This window comes from Homo sapiens, chromosome 4, assembly GCF_000001405.40.
Source record: "Homo sapiens chromosome 4, GRCh38.p14 Primary Assembly".
Taxonomy (NCBI): domain Eukaryota; kingdom Metazoa; phylum Chordata; class Mammalia; order Primates; family Hominidae; genus Homo; species Homo sapiens.
The window spans coordinates 290,739-306,673 of NC_000004.12; the positions used below are offsets into that span (position 1 = coordinate 290,739).

Genomic DNA, 15,935 nt, shown 5'->3' on the forward strand with positions numbered 1-15,935 from the left:
AGGGCCCAGAAGAATCCATAACTGTCCAAATCTCTGGCAACACAACCATCAAAGACACAATGCACAGCAGACCCAGCAGCACCCTTGTGACCCAGCTACAACCCTTCTCTGCAAACCCAGAGGTAGTCTCATCAGCCTGGGGACCCAACAAAAGGAGATGTTTACCTGCCAAAAAATAGATTATACAAACTGTAAATCATTGTTAAATCCTTAAAATATACAGACACAGGGCTGCTTCAGGGACCACAGCTGAGGCCCAGATCTACAAGCATGCTTCCAGGACCACAGCTTCTATCTTAACATATTACCAAATGTACCAGAACAATTAGGCAAGGAAAAGGAGAACAAAGCTCTCCTGCTTGCAAAAGTAGTAAAAATGTTACTGTTTGTAGATAATATGATCATGCATATATATGAAACCCTAGAGTGGAATAACAAAAACTGAACTAATAAAGGCACTCATTAAGGTATCAGGATACGTAATCAACATACAAATATCTGTAGGTAGTTTCTTGGTTTGTGTTTATAAGGCAAGGTCTCACTACAAGGCCCAGGCCCATCTCGAACTCCTGTGCTCAAGTGATCCACATGCCTTGGCCTCTGAAAGTGCTGAATTACAAAAAGGAACCAATATACCTAGCCCAACATACAAATATGTTTCATTTCCATAAAGTAACAAAATTTCCAAAAAAAGAAAAAAATTCAATTTGCAATACTATAAAAATAAGAAATTAATTCAAAATAAATTTAACCAATGAAATAAAAAATTTACACACTAAATACAAGATACAAAATCTAGTGTATAACAATAAATTTAGACACTAAATGATGACAGAAACTGAAGCAGACACAAATAGATAAAACCAGATTCCATCAGGATAACAGATATTGTCAAAGTATATTTTCGAAAGTGATTTGTAGATTCAAATGTGATCCCTATCAAAATTTTAGTGGCGTTTTTCACAGTAATAGTAAACACAATTGTAAAATTTAAGTGTAACCTTAAACAATTTTAAATAACGTAAGCCATCTTGAGAAAGAACAAAGCGAGGGGCATCATACCTTCTAATTTTAAACTTTATTTAAAGGTTATAGTAAGCAAAAGAGTATGGTATGTGCATAAATACAGATATAAAAAAACCAATGGAACAGAATAGCCCAGAAACAAATCCATGCATACAAGGTCAACTAATTTTGGCAAGGGAACCAAGAACACACAATGCAGAAATTACACTCTTGTCAATACGTGGTGCCAGAAAAACTGGATATCCACAAGCTAAAGAATAAAAGTAGATCATTTTCTTACACCATACCCCAAAATTAACTCAAAATGAAACACTTCAATATAAGATAAAAAACCTTAGAACTCCCGAAGAACATATATGGAAAAGCCCTGTTGATACTGGCTTTGGCAATAACTTTTTTGATATGCCATCAAAAGCACAGCAACAAAAGAAAACACAAGTGGGATTGTATCAAAGTAAACTGCTTCTGCACAGCAAAGGAAAAGAAAACAAAATTTCTAAAAACCCTACAGGATATAAATATTTGCAAGCAATTTATCTGATAAAAAATTTGGGAGGCCGAGGCGGGCAGATCACCTGAGGTCAGGAGTTTGAGACCAGCCTGACCAACATGAAGAAACCCCGTCTCTATTAAAAATACAAAATTAGCTGGGCATGGTGGGGCATGCCTGTAATCTCAGCTATTTGGGAGGCTGAGGCAGAAGAATCACTTGATCCCGGGAGGCAGAGGTTGCAGTGAGCTGAGATCATGCCACTGCACTCCAGCCTGAGCAACAAGAGCAAAACTCTGTCTCAAAAAAAAAAAAAAAAAGTTAATATCCCTATCCGAAATGTATAAGAAACTTATACAATTCAAAGCAAAACAATAATGATGATAAGCCATTCAAAAATAGGCAAAAGGTTAGATTTTTTCCCCCCAAAGAAGACATACATACAAGGTAAGTGCTATATGCTGTTGGTGAGATGTAAATTGATAAAGTCATCATAAAAAACAATAAAAAGGCCGGGCGCAGTGGCTCACGCCTGTAATCCCAACACTTTGGGAGGCTCAGGTGGGCGGATCACGAGCTCAGGAGATCGAGACCATCCTGGCTAACATGGTGAAACTCTGTCTCTACTAAAAACACAAAAAAAAAAAAAAAAAAAAAAAAAAAATTAGCCAGGCGTGGTGTTAGGTACCTGTAGTCCCAGCTACTCAGGAGGCTGAGGCAGGAGAATGGCGTGAACCCAGGTGGCGGAGGTTGCAGTGAGCCGAGATCGCGCCACTGCACTCCAGCCTGGGCAACAGAGCAAGACTCCATCTCAAAAAAAAAAAAAAAAAAAAAAAACCAGTAAGAAATAAAAATGGAAATATTATATAATCCAGCAATACCACTTCTGGGTACACTACCAAAGGAAATTAAGTTAGCACCTTGAAGAAATATCTTCAGCCCATGTTTGCTGTAGTATATTTACAATAGCCAAAATATGGTGTGTGTGTGTATATATATATACACATATATATGTATATATGTATGTGTATATATATATATATATGTGTGTGTGTGTATATATATATACACACACACACAGTAGACTACTATTCAGCCATAAAAGAAAAGGAAATCTAGCCATTTACAACCTGGATAGACCTGGAGGAAATGATGCTAAATGAAATTAGCCAAACACAGAGAGACAAAGAAACTGCTTCTTCTCACTTAGACAGGGAATCTAAAAATGTCAACTCATAAAAGCAGAAAGTAGAATGGTGGTTGTTGGTGCCTAAGGGTGGGACCATGAGGAGATGTTTTCAAAGAGTACAAATTTTTAGTTATAAATTGAGTAAGTCTGAGAAATCTAATGTACAATAGCATTAGATTAGCAAAATAGCATTGTTTATAGTTAATACTATAATGTATGCTTACAATTTGCTACAACAGTAGGCCTTAAGTGTTCTTATTACCAAAAAAAATGGTTAGCTATTTGAGTAATAGATGTGTTGATCAACTTGACTATATTTTACAATAAAATATGTGCATATCAATTATAAAATATGTGCATATCATTACATTGTAAATATTAAATATAGTTATACTATTTTTATTTATCAGAAAAATTCATATCACGCAAACACAGATATATAGTAAGTACTCAATGTAAAAAACAGATTCTTGAAAACTGCAACTATAAATGAAGCAATGTTACTATATACCAAACATAACTCTTGTTTACGTCAATTAAAGTCTGGTAAAATTAGTTTGGTTTTGGTTTTTTTGGAGACAGAGTTTTGCTCATGTCGTCTAGACTGGAATGCAATGGCATGATCTCAGCTCAGTGCAACCTCTGCCTCCCAGGTTCAAGTGATTCTCCGGCCTCAGCCTCCCAAGTAGCTGGATTACAGGCGCCCCCCACCATGCCCAGCTAACTTTTTGTATTTTTAGTACAGATGGGATTTTGCCGTGTTGGCCAGGCTGGTCTCGAATTCTTAACCTCGTGATCCACCCACCTCAGCCTCCCAAAGTGCTGGGATTACAGGCGTGAGGCAAGGCACCCAGCCCTAAAATACGCTTTCTAAAATGATACGTTGCTTCACTTCGTTTCCAAGAATCTATCAACAATGTAAGAGTTTATTATACACATATATAACTTATTTAGGTGTGTGTGAGAGACACACATTTTTATATAGATACAGATACACGTCAATGACAGAATCTCAGGCTTCCTACTAAATAAGACAAAATTATAATAGTTATTAAGAAATAAGGTAATGATTGAGCGCTTAATATTAGCAATGTTCTAAGCTGGTTAATGACATAGAACATTTAAGAAATCTAGAAGGTGAGTAAACACTTTAATCCAGTGGGGGCCAAAACTTTGAATGAGAGGGCTTTTTTGCTTATCTAAGGTGGTGGATATCACAAAACTTATTCACGAACCTTTTTCTTTAAGCTCATCAGCTATCATTAGTATTAATGTATTTCACGTGTGGCTCAAGACAATTCTTCCAATGTGGCCCAAGGAAGCCAAAAGGTTGGAAACCTGTGCTTTAAACTATATTATAATTTGAAAATTTTCACATACAGAGTTTAAATCACAAATCTCAGTTTATACTAAAACGATAACATTCTGAAGTAACATTACATTTTTTCATATTTAGGAAAATGCCTATTGTTCTGATAAAATTGCTGAGTAATAATTTTTGTAGAATTATATTTGCAACCTCTATAGGATTAAAAATCACTAAGCAGAAAAGACGCAACATCTGTCCCTGATGTTCTTGGGATTTCTGAACCAAATTCCAATATGTCCACTACTCACCGTGCACATTTTAGACATGTACAAAAAGAATATTTGAAAAAAATACACTGACATAGAGCTCCTCAATATACACATATTCCTATGTCTCCAAATGCAATGGAACAGCAGTCAGATCATGCAGCCCCTAATAAACGATAAAGTGGACATTGGCTCTCCCTGTAAACTTGAAGGGAGATCACTAAAGAAAAAAGAGAATTCTTAGATTTAACAGCATGGGACAGAAGATGCCCCTATTCATGAATATGAGAAAAAAATGCAGCCTTTTCAGAAATTATTTTCACTGGAGCAGAGCTTCCCAAACTACATTTTAAGGCCTAGCTTCCTTCTGGACCTTGGTCCCCTGGCCTGTGTCCTCTCCTTCATTCACTGTCACCTACCTGGGTGTTTGGCTACTGTCTCATGTATCTTCACTTTGTAGGGCTCCTTTCTTTGCTCCAGATAGATGACCAGGTCTGGGTTAGAGATAGCAACACCTGTTTATTTTAAAAAATTAACATGCTACTGTTAGGGATTCTCCAATTACCTACCTAATACTATACTAAGTAGAAAAGAGAAATTATGGAAGATCCTACATAATTAATCCAAAAATTGTTTCCTGGCAGAATCTTTAAAATATTTAAGTATTTTAAATCTGTGGGTTCTAAGTTCCACTACCAAGTACTACTGAATCAAAATAAGCGGTGCAAATTGTATTTTAAGATGTGGGAAACAATAATTTATGTCATTGAATTTCGAGAATTACCACTAACCTAAAATGGAGGACACAAATTAGCTCAAGAAAAGAGAAGGTTTACGTAAAGATAAAACATCTTAATATTCTTTTTTACACCAGCAAACTCCCAACAGTTTCTTGAAGAAAGAAACTGAAATTCACACAAAGCAGAAGGTTCCCAAGAGACATTCTACAAAAATAGAAAATAAAACTCCCTGAGGGAGTATTAGGAATTATTTACTGAAGTTATCCTCACCCAGGGAGATCAGGTTCCTGTAGTTCTCCAACATCACATCTCTATACAAATTCTGCTGGGCAGGGTCCAGGCATTTCCACTCTTCTGGAGAGAATTCTATGGCCACATCCCTGAATGTTAAGAGTTCCTGAAAATATATATGTATCAAGTGACAGAGTTCTTAATTTGACTACAGGTGAAATGAGTTAAGAGAACTAGTTCTGACATGTGACTGACTGAGATTATCTGATAAAATAACTTTCAACACAGTAATGTTCTCTAAAGTATTCTATAGCTCTGCAGAAAAAGGATGGCATTCCAACAGTTTCTGTTCCTGCAATAAAAATAACGGGCTACACTGACCTGCCCCTACCAAAACCAAGCAGAGTAGGCCCTGTGACCTCCTGGAAAAAAAGATTTAACTCAGCTCTCATGAAAGTATCTGGAATGCCTCACGCTTGACCTTGGCCTCGCTGTAATATGCGAGGAACTTAATTTAAAAATCAGAAATGTTTCCACCCAGAACAACAGACAGGATCTGTGGGGAGGGCACAGGTGATGATTTCTCTTCAAATTGTCCGTGTGATCCTACTGCAACACTGGGCTGAGAGTCACTTAGCTAAGCGCTGCCTCTCAAGCTTCAATGCGCATAAAAATTATTTTATATTCTCGGCCTCACTGTAACAAAATTTTGCAGGTTTGAAAAGAGTTCATGAATTAGCTTCTTATAGCAAGTCTTCTGTTAATGCTGATGTTCCTCCACCTAGACACATTATATTACCACTCGGCTAGAGAAAGCAGGCACAGCATAGAGTCCCTTACCCCAACACCCTTATCACAACACAAATACTTTTCATCCCAAGACAAGACCACAAATCATCATCCTGAAGCACAGCATTCTCTGGAGGCCGTTTAAAGTTTACAGAGGCTGGAGATGGTGTCAATGTCTGAGTAAGTCTGCATTTGAAAAACAACATGTGGTCCAGGGGTGGTGGCTCATGCCTGTAATCCCAGCACTTTGGAAGGCCGTGGTGGGGGGATCACAAGGTCAGGAGTTTGAGACCACCCTGGCCAATATGGTGAAACCCTGTCTCTACTAAAAATACAAAAATTAACCAGGCATAGTGGCGTGCGCCTGTAATCCCAGCTACTCAGGAGGCTGAGGCAGAAAAGTCACTTGAATCCGGGAGCTGGAGGTTGCAGTGAGCCAAGACCATGCCACTGCACTCCGCCTGGGCGACAGCGAGACTCCATCTCAAAAAAAAAAAAAACAACAAAAAACAACATGTGCGCCTGCATTAATGCGGTATTTATGGAGCATGTACTATGTGCTCAGGAGTATGTCACAGAGCACTGTGCTAAGACACTCACATTATGTGTAAATTCTTAGGACATCCTGGGAGGTGGGCACTAAGTGTCCAATACTTCCCAGGATTTAAATACAGGGCCCAGAATTACCATTTCCTTTCTATTTTCCTACAATTGATTTGTTTTTTAAAGGTATAGAATAACCGGTCAATATAAATAGATCACAAAGAAACAAAGGATGTATTAAATGCAATTCAGAGAAATTTATTTTTGTGTTGTATTTAAGATTTGTAAAAAAAAAAAAAAAAAAAAAAAAACTGCAGGGATGGAGAACAGGTTGCTGGATGAGATGTCTCTAGAAACACTGGTTTTAATTTTATAAAAAAGAATTTAAGGCACAAAAGTATATTGCTTTTCCCCATTTATCTGCTTTTGTGTTTCAGGAAATTGGGAGCACCAGCTTTGGAGAGGCAGTAGGAGTAGTCACTCCAAACTCTGATCTCCTCTAAGCAGTTCCGAGAGATTTCAGTGTGGGGTCAGACCTGGACAAGGTTCAGTAGAGGGTGGATCTGGGCAGGGTTAGGACAGAGAGTGGGCCCTAGACTTCTGTTCTCTATGCCGCTAAGTTTTTTCAGTTTTGTCTTTTCTAAGCCTCCCCAAGAGAAATTTGATTCCCAGATTTTATGAAATTTTAATCTATTTTAGCCACTTCTCTGTGTCTTTAATAACATACAACAAGGAATTTAACCAAATCCCTTATGTTTCTCTAGCACAATTATATTAGAAGCTAAATATTTATTCTTAGCAAGGTAAAGACAATACAACTTCTCTTCTGTCAATTAATAGTCATTCAGGTGGTGGCATCAAAACTCACAAAACAATAAAAGGGAAGTAACCCAAATGAAGCTTAAGTGTCCTGTACAATTTCCATCTTTGTACTGAACATATGATGCTGAATTCAACCATTTATTCATGTGCTCCAGACTGCAAGTTCCTTGAGGGTAGGGACCATGACTGCATCACCTCTTTTTCTAATGGACCATATGAAATAGAAGTAATTAGCTTATGGATTAGTTTGAGTCTCCGGATCTCACTTTTCACCAAAAAAAAAAACTAGAAACCTGGAGCAACTCTTATTTGGGTACAAACCAAGGAGATTCTTTGAGGGGAGAAACAAACCCTGAATAAGTCATTTATCTTCCTCTAAAATGGGAGCAGAATTAGACCTTGCTGTCAGACTGACCCCAGTCTGCACAGGACATCCGCAGATGTCTCAAATACAGGTGCTGGTTGAGTGTCCCCAGTGACCTTGGGCTGATATCCCCATAGTGATCCAGGCAGGAGAGATTCAGGCTCAATTAGTGGGATGCAAACAGAAAATGAAACAGCCCTGGTGAAGCTGCAGATCCTGGATCCAGACGTGATAGCCCCTGTCCCTGATCAGCTAACTCTGAGGCAAGGGGAAGGACAAAACTACTCTACTCCAGTAAGAGTTTACGGGGAGGCATTGTTGTGACTTTGGCTCTGAATATTTTGTGGCCCTGAACTCCCACTGCTAAGGTGCTTTTTTACACTTAACAGATTCTGCCACAGGATTCTTCTGTTCCCACCAGAAGCCTCCCACACAACTATATCAGGTCACTGGACAAGATCTGGAAAACTCAAAGAGCTCCACCTATGTTGACCTCTCATGATGTAGAAAATGTCTTCTATGAGTTTTCTGTTATGTCTTCAGCCCAAAGTCTGGTCCTGTCTTGTGAATCCTAGGCAGAAGTCAGTTTTTATGTGCATATTCTAGGTGGGATCAATGTGCCTCAGCATTCTTAGGGGTTACAGTAAGCAGAGTAAAACCAGAGGTAAGATTCTCTCATGGAGGCTCCTTCAACACATTCTAAAGAATATTTTGACCTAAAAGGAAAAACCTGGGGTAAACACAAGTAGAAAGTTTATTTGGGCCAAAACTTGAAGATGCAACACTGGAATATAAAGGTGCCCTGAATATACGCTCCAATTAGAAGCAGTTATGAGTATATATACACATATATACACATATGTGTATATATATATACACATATGTACACATATGTGTATATATATATACACATATATACACATATGTGTATATATATATATATACACATATGTGTATATATATATACACATATATACACATATGTGTGTATATATACACACATATACGTATATATGTGTATATATACATATATACACATATATATGTATATATATAGTTTTATATATATAATTTATATATAAATATATATTTATAAATTATTTATATATAAATAATATATTTGTATATATTTATATATTACATATGTAAATTATATATATAATTTTTATATACATAAATATATATACTTTTTTTTTTTTTTTTAAAGAGATGGAGTTTCCCTCTTGTTGCCCAGGCTGGAGTGCAATGGCACGATATCAGCTGACCGCAACCTCTGGCTCCTGGATTCCAATGATTCTCCAGCCTCAGCCTCCCAAGTAGCTGGGATTACAGGCATGCGCCACCATGCCGGCTAATTTTTTTTTTTTTTTTTTTTAAGTAGAGACGGGGTTTCACCATGTTGGCCAGTCTGGTCTCGAACTCCGGACCTCAGGTGATCCGCCTGCCTCGGCCTCCCAAAGTGCTAGGATTACAGGCGTGAGCCACCATGCCCAGCTGACGAGTATATTTTTAAAGGCAAAAAGGGAGGCAGAGAGGGAACTGATAGAAAGTTGTCAGAAATTCTTATTGGCTTATAGAAGTAAGTGGTTAGTGACTGGCTATATACATTAACATATAAGGTGTGGGTTATAGTGTCAAGTATGAAATTATTAGGTTAATTTATAGCCATTTGTGGCCAGGCATGGTGGCTCACGCCGGTAATCCCAGCACTTTGGGAGGCCGAGGCAGAGGGATCAAGAGGTCAGGAGATTGAGACCATCCTGGCTAACACGGTGAAACCCCGTCTCAGCTAAAAAATACAAAAAATTAGCCAGGCATGGTGGTGGGTGCCTGTAGTCCCAGCTACTCAGGAGGCTGAGACAGGAGAATCACTTGAACTCAGGGGGCAGAGGTTGTAGTGAGCAACCACTGCACTCCAGCCTGGGAGACAGAATGAGACTCTGTCTCAAAAAAAAAAAAAAAAAAAAGAAAAGAAAAGAAAAAATTATAGCCATTTGTGGCAATAGCACACAATTACAAAAGACAAATAGTTCAAAGAGGGGAACAGTACATGACTGTGGTCTCATTTTAACACATCACTGGGTCTGATCATTAAAATAACTTGTATTTCTCAGATAAAAGTTCTGTGCTTCTCTCAAATCCCAGGACATAAATTCAGAATTTGGAACTACATATTTAAGACTTGGAGGGCTGGTGAGCTATGCACATTTGTGGGCATTTGGGCAAAGGGAGAAGGGAGTTGAAGTTCTCAGGTTTACCCTAGAAGAAAACCTAAGCAATATCATTCAGGACATAGGCATGGGCAAGGACTTCACGTCTAAAACACCAAAAGCAATGGCAACAAAAGCCAAAATTGACAAATGGGATCTAATTAAACTAAAGAGCTTCTGCACAGCAAAAGAAACTACCATCAGAGTGAACAGGCAACCTACAGAATGGGAGAAAATTTTTGCAATCTACTCATCTGACAAAGAGCTAATATCCAGAATCTACAAAGAATTCAAACAAATTTACAAGAAAAAAACAACCCCATCAACAAGTGGGCGAAGGATATGAATAGACACTTCTCAAAAGAAGACATTTAGGTAGCCAAGAGACACGTGAAAAAATGCTCATCATCACTGGCCATCAGAGAAAATGCAAATCAAAACCACAATGAGATACCATCTCACACCAGTTAGAATGGCGATCATTAAAAAGTCAGGAAACGACAGGTGCTGGAGAGGATGTGGAGAAATAGGAACACTTTTACACTGTTGGTGGGACTGTAAACTAGTTCAACCATTGTGGAAGACAGTGTGGCGATTCCTCAGGGATCTAGAACTAGAAATACCATTTGACCCAGCCATCTCATTACTGGGTATATATCCAAAGGATTATATATCATGCTGCTATAAAGACACATGCACATGTATGTTTATTGTGGCACTATTCACAATAGCAAAGACTTGGAACCAACCAAAATGTCCAACAATGATAGACTAGATTAAGAAAACGTGGCACATATACACCATGGAATACTATGCAGCCATAAAAAATGATGAGTTCGTGTCCTTTGTAGGGACATGGATGAAGCTGGAAACCATCATTCTCAGCAAACTATCACAAGGACAAAAAACCAAACACCGCATGTTCTCATTCATAGGTGGGAGTTGAACAATGAGAACACGTGGACACAGGATGGGGAACATCACACACCAGAGCCTGTTGTGGGGTGGGAGGAGTGGGGAGGGACAGCATTAGGAGATATACCTAATATAAATGACGAGTTAATGGGTGCAGTACACCAACATGGCACATGTATACATATGTAACAAACCTGCACGTTGTGCACATGTACCCTAGAACTTAATGTATAATAAAAAATATATAGACAGATAGATATAAAAAAGAAGTTCTCAGGTTTAATCAATGCACATGTGTGATCCTGATTGGGATTATGGGCCCCATGATCACGGAATCAGTGTCAGATTTGAAGATGCCAGGCACACTGACGAAGGAGGAATAACTGATTGCAGTACTAAAAAGTTATTTTTGTAGAAATCCAGTATAACTGTTATAGAAGCGACTGTAGATAGAAGGAGAGACCATTCTGTTTCCAGATTTGGGGAGCACTTTGCTGCACTTTGTGCACCTTGCCACCAAATTATGGGTTGTGAGTGGAATCCTGAGAAAGGTTTTTCTCTAAAGTGAAGCCTAGAGGGCACTTGTGTATAATGTCTGGTGATTCTGGACAGTGTGAGGAAAAATATAACTAAAAGCAAAATCATCTCCAATCCTAAAAAACTCCACAATAATAGAGAAGTAAGAAAATGTTTTGTTACATAATTAAACCAAAATGTGATGTGCATCATAGGCAATCTACTAAGAGACTACAAACACAGAAACTCACCATAATTCTCAAGTAGAAGACATGACAGCACCATTTGTCATATACGGCTTATTGTAATTTCACCTAGTAATCTGAGAACTCATCTGGGTTTTCTAATTGGTAATATTTATAGAAAAAATAAACTTCCAACATCTTCATGACAGGAGGCAGATTTGCAACGTGAGGCTAGGTACCTGCTGAAGGCAGCCTATTAGTCGCCTACAGAAACTGTGGGATAGGATGCATGTTCTTGCTATTCACTTTTCAAAGCAATAGTTTTCAGGTCCTAGATAAAGACAAGTTTGACTCAAAAAAGACAAATGACTTATTTAACTGACAAAAATGACATATAAATTTTAAAGAAGCAGAGAAAATACTTAAATATAAAAGTTTTCGAGACAGGAGCAGTGGCTCACGCCTGTAATCCCAGCACTTTGGGAGGCCGAGGTGGACAAATTGTAACGCCCAACCTTGTTTCTACTAACCCTGTTTTTAGACTCTCCCTCTTCTTTTAATCACCTAGCCTTGTTTCCACCTGAGTTGACTCTCCCTTAGCTAAGAGCCAGACAGACTCCATCTTGGCTCTTTCACTGGCAGCCCCTTCCTCAAGGACTTAACTTGTGCAAGCTGACTCCCAGCACATCCAAGAATGCAATTAACTGATAAAATACTGTGGCGAGCAATATCCACAGTTCCCAGGAATTCGTCTGATTGATAACGCCCAAAAGCCCCGCGTCTATCACCTTGTAATAATCTTAAAGCCCCTGCACCTGGAACTGTTTACTTTCCTGTAACCATTTATCCTTTTAACTTTTTGCCTACTTTATTTCTGTAAAATTGTTTTAACTAGACCCCCCCTCCCCTTTCTAAACCAAAGTATAAAAGAAAATCTAGCCCCTTCTTCGGGCCGAGAGAACTTTGAGCGTTAGCCGTCTCTTGGCCGCTGGCTAAATAAACGGACTCTTAATTCATCTCAAAGTGTGGCGTTTTCTCTAACTTGCTCAGGTACAACATTAACACCTGAGGTAAGGAGTTCGAGACCAGCCTGGCCAACATGGTGAAACTCCCTCTCTACTAAAATTAGAAAAATTAGCTGGGCGTGGTGGCACAGGCCTGTAATCCAGCTACTCAGGAGGCTGAGGCAGGAGAATTGTTTGAACTCGGGAGGTGGAGGTTGCAGTGAGCCGATATCACGGCACTGCCCTCCAGCCTGGGCAACAGAGTGAGACTCCGGCTCAAGAAAACAAAACAAAAAATGTTTTCAAACTAAATGCTTTAAGAAAAGGGAGAAGAGCAAAAATTATTCCCTCATTCTAAAGAGAGACCATTAAGCCGCGTCTAATTTGGGTTTGCTCCTGCAACAGCCAGGTTTAAAGGCATGGTCTTGAAGTCACTAACGTCTGAATTCTCGCAGGCAAGTGAGGGATGGACTTGGGCACACTGTGTGCACAGGAAATAAGATTTGTGAGGAAGAAAAAAGCAGAAGAGAGAAAGGAGCTATCAAGAGTCATGGTGGGGACAGGGCAGGACTGACTAAATAAAAGACTAGTTTGTGCTACAAGTGCAGGTCTAGGCAGGGTTACCATCTGACTGATTCATGTGTCCATAAAGGCAGAGGAGATTAGGATCAGGTGGTCCAGAAGCCTGGGTGGGGGAAGGAAACAGGTTCCTGCTATAGATCCAGTGTCTGGGGTTGAAATGAGCCAGGAGTCTTCCTGGCACTGTGTGTGTTATTGGCAGAATACCCTAGGAGCAAAGCTGTCACGGGCACAATTCCTGAGGGTAGAACCCTGTCCTGGGAGGAGTGTGGCAATGCGAATGGCCAGTGAGCGTCCTCGGGAGTGGGTTAGCATTAAGTGGGGGCTGGCAGCAGGGTGCAGGGAAGGGATGTTTCTCAGAACTCCTTTCCTCTAAGTTCCCAGTCCCTTCTCTCCCCGGAAGGAGACCTGGAGGAAAAGGACAGTGCCCAGCGGGACAGCACATGTGCAGAACCCGGCCGCGCCTCCCGCAGACACCAGGCATCTTTCTCCAGCCCAGGCTCAGCCATGTCTTTCTTCTGACAGAAAACGTGCGGAGTTTGCTCAACATCAGTCAATGCTCCAACCCCAACGCGGTGTCCAGCAACTCACTAACGACACCACCCAGAGTCAGCGAAGACCCCACAAGCTCAGCGCTCTTCCCGCAGCTGCCCCCCCCCTGCAGACGGCAGTCCCTGCCTCTGGACACCCGTCTTCATTTCTGAACGCCTGCCTACAAACCAGGGGCGCCCACACCCTCCTCAAGTTCAATAATGTGGCAGAACTACTCACAGAACTCAGCGAAGCGCTGTGCGCGCCCACACCAGCGTATTCTAAAAGATGCCACTCAGGAACAGCCACGCGGAGGAGGCGCACAGGGCAAGGGGACTGGTGGGCAAGTTGGAGCGGGCGGGTGATTTGCTTCGCTTCCTCACACACCTCACAAAAGCTTTTCCTTCAAGACCCGCTGGCAGCCCCCAAACCACAAGCCATGCCCGGGGCTGTCCCATTAATTAGTCCCCATTTGCTCACATGAACTCTATGTTTTGATAGGGCCTCGATCTTATTCCGAACAGGGTAAAGTAGGGACTCGACGACCGGACCACAGCTCCTCCCAGGCGGGCACCTCGCACGCCACGCAGGCGTTTTCCCGATGAGCTCCTCCTCACCCCACAGCCCAGGGAAGGTGCGGGGCTGCGGGCGCAGAGCTGCACAAGTAGGGCTGCAGGCTGGGCCAAAGCCGCCTTGCGGGGACCGACATGAACCCGGGTCCCTCACCGGAAGGGACCAAGGACTGAGGGCTGAGCGGCGGCAGCGGAGACTCCGTTCGCAGACTCCGTCCCGCCGCCGCCATTTCCCGCCGGTTCGGATGAGGCCTCCCCAGCCTTGGGACGCCCTGCCCCCACACTCACCATTTCCCCACTTCAGGGGTGTAGCGGAGTCTCAGCTACGAATCATCCAATACCCGCAGGTCACAGAGCGACGGAGGCTGAGGCTGTGACCGAATCACCGACGCCTCCCTGAGGGGTGAAAGCACGGCCGTGGAGACCCTAACCGAGCTCACGCTGGCGCAAAAGGCAAAAGCCGCGCCAGATCCCGGATGCCGCCCCCTCCTCTCCGGCTGCGCGCCTGATTGGGCAGTTCTCAATCCAGCGCTCTGATTGGATAAGATACCAAGCTCCCCACGCTCAGAATTTGAGTGACAGAACTTGCCACCACACAGTGCACTTAATGAGGCAAGAGAGACAGACTCGTGCCTCCAGGTATTTTCAGTCAGGGCTTTCTGTGCTAGGCTTGGCTCTGTTGGGGGTTCATTTTTAACCTTCTGGTGTGTAAGGTTACGCCCATTTATAAATTGTGTACGTACGCGCGCGCACACACACAGACACACACTTGTTCACAAATGGAAACAATATAATGACAATTATTTTAATATTTTAGATTTCATAACCTCTCTGTCCTCTGGTCTTTTGAGTAGGATTTTAAGGGGGAAGCAATCCTTTAAAAAATAAAATGTTAGCTATTTGTGAATTTTCAATTTTTTATTAGCCACATCAAAAATAATAAAAAGAAACAAGTGAAATTGTTTATATTTTAACCTATTGTATCCAAAATATTGTTTCAATATGTGATCAATATATAATTAGAAATAAAGTATATTTCTGATTTAATTCGTCTAAACTCACTGTGTATTTTATGTTTGCAGCACATTTTACCTCAAACCAGCCACATTCCAGGTACTCAGTAGCTACATATGTCTGGTGGCTGCCACATCGAGTACAGCCATGAGGGCTCTGACCTCAAGAAAGTGAGGGCCTGAACACGTCTTTTCTACTGGAAGTAAGGGACCAGCCTCTCTACCAACTTTTCTCCTCAGGATGAAGGATGGGTAGGACAGTGCCCCTAGAGAGAGCAGGGGCTGCAAGCTGAGAGTGTCCACGTGAAGATCACTGTCTCCCCCTTGCTGTTTGGTACCAGTGTGGTGGTCTCCTCAGTTCAACCACGTCTGGGCTCTCTTCCCATGACCAGGAAGAATAAGACATACAGACACCAGAGAGTGAGTAAAGCAGAATAGGATTTATTAAGCATAGGGAAAGCTCTCAGCAGTAAGAGGGGACATGAAAGCAGGGTGCCAGAAATGGGGCTGAGTTTATATGGCAAGAACAAGGAAGTCTTCTGTGGGCTCTGCCCAAATGGGAGGGGTAAAGTTCCCCTATAACAGTGTTGCATCTGAGCATGCCTGGGATTGACCACAGTGACTCCGTCTTGGTTATTACC

The 15,935-nt window shown here is 41.2% G+C and overlaps 1 protein-coding gene across 1 annotated transcript in view; it reads right to left on the bottom strand.

Annotated features, from left to right (window-relative positions):
- Positions 1-14,736, bottom strand: part of ZNF732 (zinc finger protein 732) — a 34,800-nt gene extending 20,064 nt beyond the window's left edge. Inside the window, exons 1-3 of the mRNA NM_001137608.3 lie at positions 14,570-14,736; positions 5,291-5,417; positions 4,700-4,795 (exon numbers count right to left, since the gene is read on the bottom strand). Of these exons, the coding sequence (NP_001131080.1) occupies positions 4,700-4,795; positions 5,291-5,417; positions 14,570-14,572 (226 nt within the window). The 5' untranslated portion in view covers positions 14,573-14,736. The remainder of the gene's footprint in view (positions 1-4,699; positions 4,796-5,290; positions 5,418-14,569) is intronic.
- Between the last annotated feature and the right edge of the window lie 1,199 nt (positions 14,737-15,935).